General features: G+C 53.8%; 6 annotated features.

Moving 5' to 3' along the window:
- Positions 49-601: an enhancer, noted in NCBI's record as "H3K4me1 hESC enhancer chr1:38492441-38492993 (GRCh37/hg19 assembly coordinates)". NCBI's record gives its function as "activates a minimal SCP1, AML or CMV promoter by ChIP-STARR-seq in primed H9 embryonic stem cells {active_cell/tissue: H9 hESC(primed)}" and the evidence as "EXISTENCE:reporter gene assay evidence [ECO:0000049][PMID:30033119]".
- Positions 602-1,153: an enhancer, noted in NCBI's record as "H3K4me1 hESC enhancer chr1:38492994-38493545 (GRCh37/hg19 assembly coordinates)". NCBI's record gives its function as "activates a minimal SCP1, AML or CMV promoter by ChIP-STARR-seq in primed H9 embryonic stem cells {active_cell/tissue: H9 hESC(primed)}" and the evidence as "EXISTENCE:reporter gene assay evidence [ECO:0000049][PMID:30033119]".
- Positions 1,973-2,022: an enhancer, noted in NCBI's record as "active region_783". NCBI's record gives its function as "activates an Ori minimal core promoter by ATAC-STARR-seq in GM12878 lymphoblastoid cells {active_cell/tissue: GM12878}" and the evidence as "EXISTENCE:reporter gene assay evidence [ECO:0000049][PMID:35858748]".
- Positions 3,156-3,235: an enhancer, noted in NCBI's record as "active region_784". NCBI's record gives its function as "activates an Ori minimal core promoter by ATAC-STARR-seq in GM12878 lymphoblastoid cells {active_cell/tissue: GM12878}" and the evidence as "EXISTENCE:reporter gene assay evidence [ECO:0000049][PMID:35858748]".
- Positions 3,936-3,995: an enhancer, noted in NCBI's record as "active region_785". NCBI's record gives its function as "activates an Ori minimal core promoter by ATAC-STARR-seq in GM12878 lymphoblastoid cells {active_cell/tissue: GM12878}" and the evidence as "EXISTENCE:reporter gene assay evidence [ECO:0000049][PMID:35858748]".
- Positions 4,737-5,031: an enhancer, noted in NCBI's record as "tiled region #3132; HepG2 Activating DNase matched - State 8:EnhW". NCBI's record gives its function as "activates a minimal TATA promoter and a strong SV40 promoter by Sharpr-MPRA in HepG2 cells {active_cell/tissue: HepG2}" and the evidence as "EXISTENCE:reporter gene assay evidence [ECO:0000049][PMID:27701403]".

Here is a 13,208-nt window from a genome sequence, read left to right on the forward strand (position 1 = left end):
AGGCATGAGCCACTGCTCCTAGCCAATCTTTTTCTGATTTCTAACTGCTTCCTGGTGCCAGGGTGGAAAAGGGCCCAGCAGGTGGAGCTGCTGCCCCTTTGCTGGGATTCCTTCTCAGGGACTTGGTGTCCACCCACCCAGCACACTTGTCTTCTTTCAAAAGTGTCCTTGTACTTAGGAAGTACTTGCATGTGTTTGCTTATTGAATTTAATGCTAGGGGGGAGAGCTCCCATGAAGAAATGGGATTTTCTCACCCTGAGTTTGAGATGAGTGTGGCCCCAGGAGGAAGACTGGGCAGGAAGGTGCTTTTCCTTCCTGTTTCTAGTGAGGACCATGCAGGGAGGTCTCTGTCACATAGCCCCAAGTTTCCCATAGGGTGGTTCCACCCAGACCTGGGAGGGGTCTCCCTCCGTGCAGCTTTAAGCATCTGTTTGTCGCTCACTGTCCTCTCCCCCATGCTGCTGACGGTGGGGCACTGAGCAGTTAGAGCTGCACGTCCTCCAGCAGGGAAGGCAGCCAACAGATGCAGACTCGCTCTGCCTACCTGTGGAGGCCGGTGAGGCCAGGGCCTGTTGGGACTTGAAACAGTGAGGCAAGTGGGTGTGTGGTGCTGGGCTCCCCGCTCAAGTTCTCCCAGCGTGCCAGTTCCCGGAGCCTTATGTGCAGGGTGTTGGGGAAGGGCGGGCTGAATCGTGGGTGGGAGTCTTGGCTCAAAGCCCCAGGTGAGTGGAGGAATTGGGGGCGGACCTGAAGTACTGTCTTGAAGTGGACCTGGCAGGCCTCTTGGGCTTGTGCAGCTGCCTCCCCGGGTCAGAGGGTGCGCCCTCTGTACCCAACCAGGTCTCCACAGGTCTGTCTCAGCAAAAAGTGCAGGGAAGGATCAGAGAGAAGCTGTAAAACAAAGGGAGGCAGAGCTTCCCTTCCCAAGCCTACTGCTGAGAGGTTGGAGTGTAGAGGAGGCTGCCTAGTTCATGCTTCTGCCTGTTCTTTCCTCAACTGCTCTGGCCAGAGGGAAGAACGTCTCCGCTGCTTCTCAGGCTCCCTGTAAGGAATTTCCTGGCTCCCTATTCCTGGATCCATCATCATCACATTTAGGAAGTCTTGTCCAGTCTACTCCTAGGTGAAGCATACACCTAGGTCTCCTTGTTCATCTTGTCCGCTTCGCTTAATGCAAAGGGAACAAACTGCTTGGGGCTGGGGTGGTTGCACAGTCCAGCCCTGTGCTCCTGCGTGGTGGTAGGAGAGGCTCGTCCAGAACGGAGCTAAGGACCCAGCTTTTTCTAGGCAAGAGGAATATATCAAGGGAACTGCTGTGTTTAGGGGTAAGCAGAGGATGGAAAGGGCTTCCTTTCCCCTCCCTGCATCTGTCACCTGACGGCCATGCTCAGATCGGGTTAATGAAACTGTGGTGCCCCAGGCAGCTGGGCAGCACCCCCCTGCCCTGAATCAGCCTGAGTCATTTACAGCTTTCTCCCAGTTACCCCAAAGGCTTCTCTCAGAGGTGACAAATGTAGGGGGTTGGTTTCGGGTTTCATGTTTTCACATTACTGGGTGGAAAAAAGAAAAAACACCTTTCCAAACCAAAAAAACCAGCTTCTATAGCAGAAACAACTTGTCCCGAGAGCACTGAAAATTTCCCCATCCTCTCTCCTCATCTGCTCAGAGACACTGAGACCAGTGATGGAGGGGTTAAGGGGAGGGGTTGGAGTCAGGCTGAGTGGAGTGTTGGGGACAGCCCCTTTGGAGGTGGCAGCACCTGCCTTCCTGCTTATAGGCAGGGGAGGACCTTTGCAGGGCCCTGCAGCTCTGAAGCCTGTGGTCTCCAGTGCCCAGAGATGGATTGCCAGGGCATGGGACAGTGAACTCAGGGTGGCGAGGGACCAGGGAAGGAAGGGACCATCTCCCCTCCCTAGCTATTTTGATCCCAGGAGGTCTGGGACAGGTGTCCCTCCCTGGCAGAGGGTTCTTGAGGTGGAGTGGTAGGTGGAATATAGAAGGTCCATCTGGCACATGGAGCCTAGGGGGCAGCACCCCCTCCTCTTGCTGGCTGGTAGCATTGTAGACCACCCCAGCCCCCCGCCAGGGGCAGATGGTCTCCATAGCAGATGGAGACTAGGCTGGCAGTGGCAGGATGGGCTTTCTAGTCTCAGCCTGGCCACTCTGGCTAATAAGACAATCCGGGGGCAGTGACAGGGCTAACTGCTGGTGTGTGTGTGTGTGTGTGTGTGTGTGTGTATGTGTATGTGTGTGTGTATATAGGTGTGTAGGAGAGGGAGCCCTGGCCTTATTGGGCCATTCTGGGGGAGAAGTAAAGAGGAGTCCCAGACAGAGTCAGTGGATCTTTGGGGCCCCCTCAAGTTTGCTATGTAAGCGTGGCAGGCTCTCAGTGCCTGGGCTCCTGAAGCTGCCCTGGTTCTTGTGTGAAGGGGCCGGCTCCTGGGCTGGGAGCCTCTGCTGCAGCTGGAGCCTGGACTGCTTGATTTAGACCCCCTGCCAGGTCCCCAGAGCTCGGCCTGGGCAGCAGCTCCTCCCAGAGGACGCGCCCGTTTATTATGCGCTCCTGCTCCCTCATGGCTCAGGCAGGCAGCGGCCTTCATTAGCGGAGGAGCTGGGGTCTGTTTTGGCTGCCTCATCAGCATCAGTGAACTGCGTCCCTGCGAGATTTGATACAATTTAATTAACCTAATTAAAAGCTCTGATTGCAGAGATGATTGGGGTAGCGCCAGCAGCGACTGCATATTTATAATGAGCTGCAAGGTGTGGGACCGCAGCCAAACGCCACGCATCCTAATGAGCGGGAGCCGGGAGCCAGGGAGCGGGAGAGGGAACGTTTATTTTTGGCAACAATGCCCAGTTCCTCCCTGCCAGGGAGTCAGAGACCCAGGGAGCAGAGACGGACCTGCCCACTGTGCTCTTCCGCACAAGGTGGAAGCAGAAATGTGTGCTCTCCACCGGTTCTAGGGCCCTTGGACGCCCCAGGAGCACACAGTGCCCGTGTTTCTGTTTGTAGAGTAGGGGGCTGGGACCCCAGCCATGCACTTTTCCTGCCTCTCATCTCTGGGAGTCAGGGGCTGCCTTCTGAACCGGGGCCTTGCTGTGAGGAAACAGGACCCAGCAGAACCACCTTGTTTCCAGGCTCCAGGATCCCTGGGCTGTTTTCTCAAACTTGCCAAGGAAGAGACAGGGGCTGGCAGGACAGGCTGAGAGGCTGCTTGGGAGTCAGAAAAGGGGTCTGCATATCCAGGAGTCCCAGATGAAGATCCTGGGCCTGGGACAGAAAGGAGAAACAGGAGGGGCAAACTTCCCACTCATCCTGGAAGCTGGGGACCCCTGTCCCCATCTCCTCACTCCCTTTGAGGACCCTGCCCAGGGAGGCCAGCTGCCCTGGACTCTTCCTGTCTTCTCCCACTGCCTCTGTCTGGGGAAGTCTTGGTTTGTCTGACTCAGCGTTTCCGCTGTAAATCACATCTAATAATACCGAGAGTGAGAGCTGAGACGGAGGTGCTGTGGGTGAAGGGGCACCGGGGAGGAGGGGCACGCCGCCTAGGTGCCAATGGGTGTTGTTCAGGGAGGGAGCTCTGAGGCGGCAGGAATGGGGGCTGGGCCCTGAGGAAGAAGGTGGGAGCAGCCTGCCACCCCTGCCCCCATTCCTGCTCTGGAGCTTGTGTAGGTCATGAGCTCAGCCAGGCTGGCCCAGCCCCCCAGTGCTTTGAGTGCCGCCAGGACAAGATGAGATTTGTCCCAGCCTACCTTGCAGAGTTGCAGCTGTTTAGCTCCCTTATCAATCTTCTCTGTGGGTTTAATCATCTCTCTGTCATCCTGCTGGGGCAGCCCTCCCCTAACTGAAGCCCCCAGAGGGGCTGGAGCTTCTCAGCCCCAGCTTTCCTCCAGTCCCCCTCCCCCAGACAAGCATCTTTCCCCACCTGACTTCCCTTATGGGAGATAGAGGGTGGGCCAGGGCGGCTTTGCTCCAGGTTTAGTCTCAGTGGCAGGGGTGAATGTCCTTGTGTTTGCAAGATGTAAACAGGATGAAGGGTGGGTAGAGGTGGCACTGGCAGAGAATTTGTCCCAGCTGGGTCCTCAAGGTCTTTGACTCCATTCCAGCCTGGGTAGAACAGGGCCTAGAGGTCGGCTATGAGGGCTTTCTGCCCAGAACCAGGAGATTCTTGCGTAGGTGCACGATCCTTCCCTCCTGCCAGCCCCTTAGGAGCTGCAGCCAGCCAGCCAGCTCTGGCCTCCTTCCCTGGGTGGGTCCTGTGGGGCTCAGGGGCCCGTGGGCAGTAACCACGAGCCCACGGCTTTGTGTGCATCTTGGGAAGGAGGGCGCACAGGAGTCAATGGAGCCTGTGTTGTGGTCCAGGCGGGGAGCCAGGGCGCAAGGGGTTTTGGGGCTGCCCCAGTGCTGACGTGCAAGATGACCTTCAGGGCCGCGCTTCGGCCCTCTGCTGTGCTCTCCTTCCCTGCTGAGCATCTGGAGAATGGGCAAGGAGGTGGCATGGGATGGGGTATGTGCCCCCAGAGGGAACATGAGAAAGAGGGCCCTTCTTCCCCTGCTCCCCACTCCTCACCCTAGGCCTTCTCTGTGCAAATGGAAGGCCAGCGCCTCCCCGTTTCTCAGAAGGGGATGTAAAGTCCCAGAGAGGGTTGGGATCTGGCTGAACATCACCCAGCTTGTCCTCAAGGCAGGGACTGTGAGACCCCTGCAGAGGGTCCCTCAGGACGGAACCAAAGGTTCTGGAGGGCCACCAACCAGTCCTGGGCTGGAGGGGGCTTGTTAGGTTCAGCATAAGGCTGGGCTCTGGAAGACAATGGAGTGTTGATGAGGCTTCGGTCCTGGTCTCACATGACCTGACCAGGCAGGGTGGGTGGACTGCACGTGGCTGAGTTGCCTGGGCTGACCTTTGGTCGCTGGCTAGGGAAGAGAGGAAGCCATGAAGGCTCCTGCCCACTCCATGCCCTGGGCACCCTGACACCCCCTCCCCAGGAACTGCCCTCTGGGCACACACTGTCTTCCACCTACCTACCTTCTTCTTTAGTCTTTCTCTTTTCTCTGCCACGTGTAGGAGCATGTGTACAATATGTGTGTATTTGTGTGTGAAAGTATATGTCTGTGTGAATGTGAGAAGTGAGGCATAGGATGAAAGGGAGAGAAGAGACCCTCTTTCTGGGTTCTTCCCTATCAGGAATAAAGACTGAGTTTCAGCCAGGCACAGTGGCTCACACCTGTAATCCTAGCACTTTGGGAGGCTGAGGTGGGCGGATTGCCTGAGCTCAGGAGTTTGAGACCATCCTGGGCAACATGGTAAAACCCTGTCTCTACTAAAAATACAAAAAATTAGCTGGGCATGGTGGCGCGTGCCTGTAATCCCAGCCACTCGGGAGGCTGGCTAAGGCAGGAGAATCGCTTGAACCCGGGAGGCGGAGGTTGCAGTGAACGGAGATGGGACCACTGCACTCCAGCCTGGGTGACAGAGCAAAACTCCATGTCAAGAATAAAAAAGGAAAAAAGAAAAAAAAAAAGGCCGGGCGCGGTGGCTCATGCCTGTAATCCCAGCACTTTGGGAGGCCGAGGCAGGTGGATCACTTAAGGTCAGGATTTCGAGACCAGGCTGGTCAACATGGTGAAAACCCGTCTCTACTAAAAATACAAAAATTAGCTGGGCGAGGCCACGTGTGGTGACTCATGCCTGTAATCCCAGCACTTTGGGAGGCCGAGGCGGGCAGATTGCTTGAGGTCAGGAGTTCGAGACCAGCCTGGCCAACATGGTGAAACCCCATCTCTATTAAAAATGCAAAAAATTAGCTGGGTTTGGTGGTTCATGCCTGTAGTCCTAGCTACTCAGGAGGCTGAGGCAGGAGAATCACAGTGAGCTGAGATCGCGCCACTGCACTCCAGCCTGGGCAACAGAGCAAGACTCCATCTCAAAAGAAAAAAAAATTATCTGAGCATAGTGATGGGCACCTGTAGTTCCAGCTACTTGGGAGGCTGAGGCAGGAGAATTACTTGAACCCAGGAGGCGGAGGTTGCAGTGAACAGAGATCGGGCCACTGCACTGCAGCCTGGGTGACAGAAAAAAAAAAGGCTGAGGTTTTTCCACTGTGGGGATACCAGCATGGATGGGGCCAAGGTATATGTGCGTATGCCTCTGCATGTGTGTGCATGGGAGTGGATGCACATGCTCATGTGGAGGGCAGTGCCCCCTGCTCTGCCTTGTCCTTTGACCTGTATCCTCCTCTGGTGGGAGGGGTGACTTCTATGGTCAGCATCTTCCAGCTCAGGCTGGAACCAGAGCTGTGACGGAACCAGAGCTGTGACAGAGCCAGGGTGTCATTTTTTTTTTTTTAATCTTTTTGAGACAGGGTCTCACTCTGTTGCCCAGGCTGGAGTGCAGTGATGCGATTGTGGCTCACTGCAGCCCTGACCTCCTGGGCTCAAGTGATCCTCCCACCTCAGCCTTCCAAATAGCTGGGACTACAGGTGCACACCACCACACCTAGCTAATTTTTAAAATATTTTGTAAAGATAGGGTCTTGCTATGTTGTCCAGGCTGGTCTCAAACTCCTGGGCTCAAGTGATCTTTCCACCTCAGCCTCTCCAAATGCTGGGATTACAGGCATGAGCCACCATGCCTGGGCCACACTTAGGATTATTATTTTTTATTTATTTTTAATTAATTTTTTTTTTGAGACAGTTTCGTTCTTGTTGCCCAGGCTGGAGTGCAATGGTGCGGTCTCAGCTCACTGCAACCTCCGCCTCCTGGGTTCAAGCGATTCTCCTGCCTAAGCCTCCCGTGTAGCTGGGATTACAGGCGCTTGCCACCATGCCCAACTAATTTTTTTTGTATTTTTAGTAGAGACGGGGTTTCTCCACGTTGGCCAGGCTGGTCTCAAACTCCTGACCTCAGGTGATCTGCCCACCTTGGCCTCCCAAACTGCTGGGATTACAGGCATGAGCCACCGAGACCAGCCCACACTTAGGATTATTGAAGGGGTTTATCTGCCCCACCTCTTCCCTTGACAAGATGCTAAGGTGGATGTAGCAAAGGGGTTTATCTGAAGAGACTCTTCCCCTGAAATCCCCAGAGGGTTGAGGTCCAGGGTCTCAGAGAAGGGGCAAACCAGTGTGAATGACACAGCAGCTGAAAGGAAGCCCAAGGCCCGACTTTGTCATATTACATATATTGTGTGAAGCTTTTCTGGTGAATACTCCTTTGCTGGGAGCACCATCCAATTTTCTCACTAGGGCTGGTCCACCCCTAAACCTTTCTGGTGGCCCTGAGAGTTTGGGGCAGGAAGCTAAGCTCCCGCCTGGGATGAGATGAGGGTGGGGCACCCAGGCATGGGCATGAGGAGGCATCTGGGTGAGGGGACAGCACATGTGCCCTCAAACTCTCCAGGCTTCTCTCAAATTAACAGCTTCAGGTGGTGTGGCTGAGGAGTGTTTCTGGGTGATCCTACCTCCTCCCTTTTGTGTCCTTTGGCTGCCACCCTGCATAGAGTCCTCTGAATCTCCTCAGGTACTGGGGGAGACAGAATAGGAATGGTCCTTAGCAGTGGAGTGGAAAGGACAGGGCCTGAAGGGGCTGGGATGGAGGCTTTGTATGACCCCATGGGGCTGAGTTTGAGGATGGGCAGAGGCCAGGGCTGAGGCTAGAGCTGGGATTTGAAGTTGGAGCCGAGTTGAACGTGGACTAAAGTGAGATGTTGGAGGTTGGGTTGGAAGGGCGTCTCCTTCAGTCTTGACAGGATTCTGAGATGTCTATATTTGGAGTTCAAGGCAGATGTTCTCCCCCAGGTGAAGAGAATGTTTGGTGTCAGCTATCCCCTTGGAGGCTGGGGTGGGACACATCCCTTCCCCCTGCTCACCACAGCCAGGCAGAGTCATACATCACCAAGGGGCTGGGCTCCCTAGATGTATTGCCCTCATGCATCGCTATAGCAACCCTACTTTAATCCTGCATTATTCTAATGTGGTCCCCCTCCCCACTGTGATGTATAGCTGGGGTCTTAGAGCTGCTAGGCCCCTTTTCCGAGAGTCTGCTCCATCCACCCCATCTTGCCTCTCTTCACCCTGTGCATGGGACTCTTTGTGAGGCTGGGTGTGGAGGTGGGTCTGGCCCATCAGCCTACCCGCCTGCCTCCCCAGTGAGGGGAAGTAGGAGGCCATGTGTCCCCGGCCCTGGTACACGAGCGCCTGACGCACCGACCCACGCCAGCTTGCCCAGCCTGGGGACCTGAGGCCTTGGGGTTGGGGGCCAGGGCTGGACAATGGCTGCATTCCGGCTGTTAGCCACAGGCCCCCATTGTTCCTGTGGACACTGCCTGCTTGAGGGCCGAGATTCTGGCCCTCACCCCGTGTGGGGCGTAGGATGCTCCCTGGACCACTCCCCCGCGGACCATAGAGGGGTGATTCATGGGGTGGCCAGGGCAGAGCAGGCCCCAGCTGTGCCCAGATTCTGGGGCTGGGAGGGGGAGGCAACTGAGGGTTGTTTGTGTCAGGGGAGGGGGGTTGATTGAATAGCCAGAGGACTCCAGGCCCTGGACGCCAACCACGTCATCTCCTACCCCGCCTCATGTGTGGGCCGGCCAGAGAGGCCCCATTGTCAGGGGAGCAGGCCCACCCAGGCTGGAAGGGAAGCGAGAACTGAGGAGGACCACCTCAAACTGGGAAAACCCATAGACCCCACAGTCTGCACTGCTGGGGAAACTGAGATTCAGAGAATGGCAGGGTCTTGCTCAAAGTCATACAGCTAGGTGGTGACAGGCCCCAGCTGGTGGTGATATCTCCCTATACCTTCCTGGAGATGCTGCTGCCATTTCTGACAGAAACCGAGTCCCATTGGTGACTTCAGTTTTGGCAGAAGTTATGTTCATGAACTCCTTCCTCTTCCCCACTTCCTTTGAAATCCCTCCAGTTTAGGTTAGCACTTGTGTCCTTGGAGTAAGGAATTGGAGGCTGGGCACGGTGGCTTACACCTGTAATCCAACACTTTGGGAGGCCAAGGTGGGAGGATTGCTTGAGGCCAGGAGATTGAGACTAGCCTGGGCAACCTAGTGAGAGACCCTGTCTCTACAGAAAGAAAACAAAATTAGCCAGCCGTGGTGGCACATGCCTGTACCCTGTAGCCCTAGCTATTTGGGAGGCTGGGGTGGGAGGATTGCTTGAACCTAGGAGTTCAAAGTCGCAGTGAGCTATGATCACGCCACTGCACTCCAGCCTTGACAACAGAGAAAAAAAAATAGAGCTAAGGGGAGTCCTAGGGCCATGCAGAGTCCATATGGACAACACTTTCTGTGGGGCCCTCAAGAAATGAGTGAGGCATGGAGGTTCCCAGTCTCTGACACACAGGATGCATAGATGCAACAATCAACTTCATTGTTTCCTCCCAATTTTTTCATGTAGGCCCTCGTATACCTACCCTATATGACTTCAGAGTTAGGGAAGGGAAGAGACTAATCTAGGAGTGTTCTGAGAACAGAGGGACTGGTCTTATCTATCTTTGTGCTCAACATAAGGCCTGGTTGTTAAATTGGATGATTGGATGAGCGGATGGTAGATGGATGGGTAAGTGGTTGAATAGGTAGTTGAAGCGTGGATGGATGAATGGGTGAGTGGATGAGTGGGTAGATGGATGAATGGGTGGGTGGGTGGGTTGATGAATGGGTGAGTGGATGGATGTAGAATAGATGGATGGAGGAATGAATGGGAGAATGCCTGTTTCATACACTGAGGTCCAGGGATGACAAATGACCCAACTTGGGATGAACAGTGGAGTGAGGCCTGGATGCAGGTACCTGGGCACCACCTTTGAGGCTTGGTTGTGCTGTGGCATGGTTTGGTGGTCAACCTCTGGGCAGAGATGCAGAAGAAGCAGGAATTGAGACTTAAAGGAATCTATAGACAGACTTAGTCTTATGGTGTGTGACTCCACAGGGTCTTTGACCCTGAGTTGAATTTTCTGTGCTGGAGTTAAAGGAGAGGGCAGGGGGCTACTGGTGGAAGGGTCCCGCGAAGGGCAAGAAAGTAAATGAGTGGAGTCTAAGGGTTCAGGCTGAGTGACTTTGGCTCTTTGGGATTAGGCCCAGAGCCAGGACCCCCCTGCACCTTGCCCCCAGGCAAACACTCACTTATTCTTCATGACCCAGCTTGATGGTACCACCCTGCATGAGGCCTTCCCTGACCCTCTGAGTGCTGTCTTCCAGAACCTAGGACAGAACCTTAGTCCATAGAAGGGGACCAGTGCACATGACTGAGGTCATGGGAATGCTACAAAGTGGCAGAAGTAGAGAATAGATTGAGAATCTGTATCTATCGCTAGTTTTCTGGGTTATCTCAGTTAAGGCCCTCAATATCATTGGGCCTCAGTTTCCTCACCTGTAGGCTGGGGATGGGGATCTTGAGCTTTTCTTTCTGGAGTGGTTTTGAGAATGAAGAGAAATAATTCTAGGCCGGGGAAGCACTAGGCATTATTTTTCTGCACTGCTTAAGCTCAGCAATAATATAATAATATATGTTGTACATATAAAATTATTTTTATAGCCAACATTTAATGTGCACTTGCAATGTGCCAGGCTGTCTTCTAAGTGTTTACATATATCATCTCTTATCTACTCCTCACAGCAATTCTACAAAGAAGGCACTATTATTATCTTCATTTACCGATGAGGAAACTGAAGTTTGGAAGGCTTAAGTATCTTGCCAAAAGTCTCAAGGGTAATAGGTGGTGCAGCCAGGATGAATGTCTGGGCAGCTGCCAGGGCCCACATTCTTAGGCGCTACATGGAACTGCGCAGTACATGGAGGCTTGGAGTGGATCAATCAGAAGGGCTTCCTGACGGTCTTGATGATCCCAGGCAAATTACACAACTTCCTTGAGCCTCATGAGATTTAAGTTGAGCACAGAGAAAGATAAGAGCCCTGTGTTGAGCACAGAGATAGATAAAAACGAGTCTCTCTGTTTTCAAAACACACCCTGATAGTGGGGTAGTGGAGGGAGGGGCAGCTTCTAGCCAATGAACCCCATCACCCTTGGTCCCCAGCTTCTCTCCCTGGCCCAGTCCTGAGTCCTGGAACCTCCCCTGCCTTGGGCAAATACCCAAGCACTGAACACAGTGTTTGCCCCAGCAGGGGGTGCCATGGACCTGGGAGTCCATGTCCCAGGTCCATATCCAGGACATCTGAGTGGGCTCTGGGAGTCAGAAAAAGTGGGCTTTATCCCAGCTTCTGTCATTAACAAATCTTGCTGCCGTGGACAAGTCACTCTGGGTACCACTTTCCTCATCTATAAAATACAAATAATTAATGTGAAGTAGTGAAAATAAAGCACAAAGGAGTGATGGGAAAGTATCTCAGAATGCCTTGGACAGAGTGGGGTCCATGGTAAAAGTTCATTACATTATGGTTTTCTTCCCTGTTCACTTGCTTCTGCACAATGCCCTGTTCAGGCCTCACAATAAAACAGCTTTCAGGCTGGGCATGGTGGCTCACACCTGTAATCCCAGCACTTTGGGAGGCTGAGGTGGGTGGATCATCTGAGGTCAGGAGTTTGCGACCAGCCTGGCCAGCATAGTGAAACCTCCCCGTCTCTACTAAAAAAATACAAAAATTAGCTGGGTGTGGTGGCGGGCACCTATAATCCCAGCTGCTAGGGATGCTGAGGCAGGAGAATGGCGTGAACCCGGGAGGTGGAGGTTGCAGTGAGCCAAGATTGCGCCACTGCACTCCAACCTGGGCCACAGAGGGAGACTTTGTCTCCAAAAAAAAAAAAAAAAACCAACAACAACAAAAAACCAGCTTTCATTTATTCATCACTTATGTAAACTCTATATGCATATTATCCCACTTAATTCTCAAAACAACTCTATGATCAGGGAACTGCCTTTGTTACCATACCAGGAAATGGGGGCACAGAAATGTAGGTAGTTGGCCTAAAGTCACAAAACTGATAAGAAGTGGAGACAGGATTTTTGCCCAGGTGTCTGGTCCCAGAGCCCCTGTCTTTCACCATTCTGCTCTCTACCTCCTCGGAGGCGTGGATAGCTTCCGGAGGGACTGTGATGACAAGGGGAGAAGGCAGGTGACCCACAGAGGCTGGAGGGTGCCTGGCCATGGGCTTGGTCTGTCCATGAGCTGCTTGGGTCAGCTCTACCAGCTTCTGTGTGGATGGAGCACTCCCTCCTCTCCAGGCCAGCCCAGCTCCAGGGAAGGCCCAAGGATGGGGACAATATCCCATTCCAGGCCACGGAGCAGTGGTAATGCAGGGTCCAGGTCTGCTCCGGCTCTTGCTCTTGCTCAGAGCTGAATAATCTGGAGCCTTTGAAGAAGGATTTCTGAAAAGCCATCAGGAGTGAATCATTGACTTAGGGAGGCGATGAATCAACGGGGAGTTCATAAAACGGCAAATGAATCGGGTGTGAGAGCGACAGAGCCACTGCTATTCCCCAGAACCCTCCAGGGACAGAGAGCCGAGAGAAAAGAAATAAAAATAACACGGGGCCTTACGCCTGCCACAAACCCCAGGCAGCCCCTCCTTCCAAGTGGGAAGACAGAGTGGGGCAGAGGGATGGGACCCACTGTGGGTGAAGTGGGGCCAGAGGGAGGCTCCCGGGGGCACTCCCAGCTCTCTGGGTCCAGGCTGTGGGTGTAATTAGCAAATGCCTTTTCACTTCTTTTCAGGAGCCCTTATAAGAAAGAACACTGATTTTGACGAACACCCAAAATAATGTGAGATCAGGCACCATGCATTATGCATGAGGTCTGATTTAACATGAACATTATTTCTTGTGTACGAGACCATATGCCTCCGTGCTGTCTCTGCAGCCTAATAATACCCAGACCCACCCTGGTCAGGCTCAGCAGGAGACATGTCCACTGGTGTGTATGTGTTGGGGGCAGGGATTGGAGCAAAGCTCTCCTGGTACTCAGGTCATCTGAGGAGAGCCCACTCAGATGCCCAGGAGCGGGGTGGGTAGTGGGAGGTGGGTCATGCCCTTGGAGAAAGACCAATGTAACCATGTGAACGTGCCACTGTGCGTGCGCGCGTGCGCACGCGCGTGTGTGTGTGTGTGTGACATCAGGGGCCCGTGACTAGGTGATGCTGGGTTCATTGCATAGCAATGTGGGGGCATATGCATAGCTGAGGTTTTACTGCACAAGAAGGACTACGGCAGGAATGGATAGATCTAATTGCTGTGTGTGTTTGTATAT

The sequence above is a fragment of the Homo sapiens genome, chromosome 1 (genome assembly GCF_000001405.40).
Source record: "Homo sapiens chromosome 1, GRCh38.p14 Primary Assembly".
Lineage (NCBI taxonomy): Eukaryota > Metazoa > Chordata > Mammalia > Primates > Hominidae > Homo > Homo sapiens.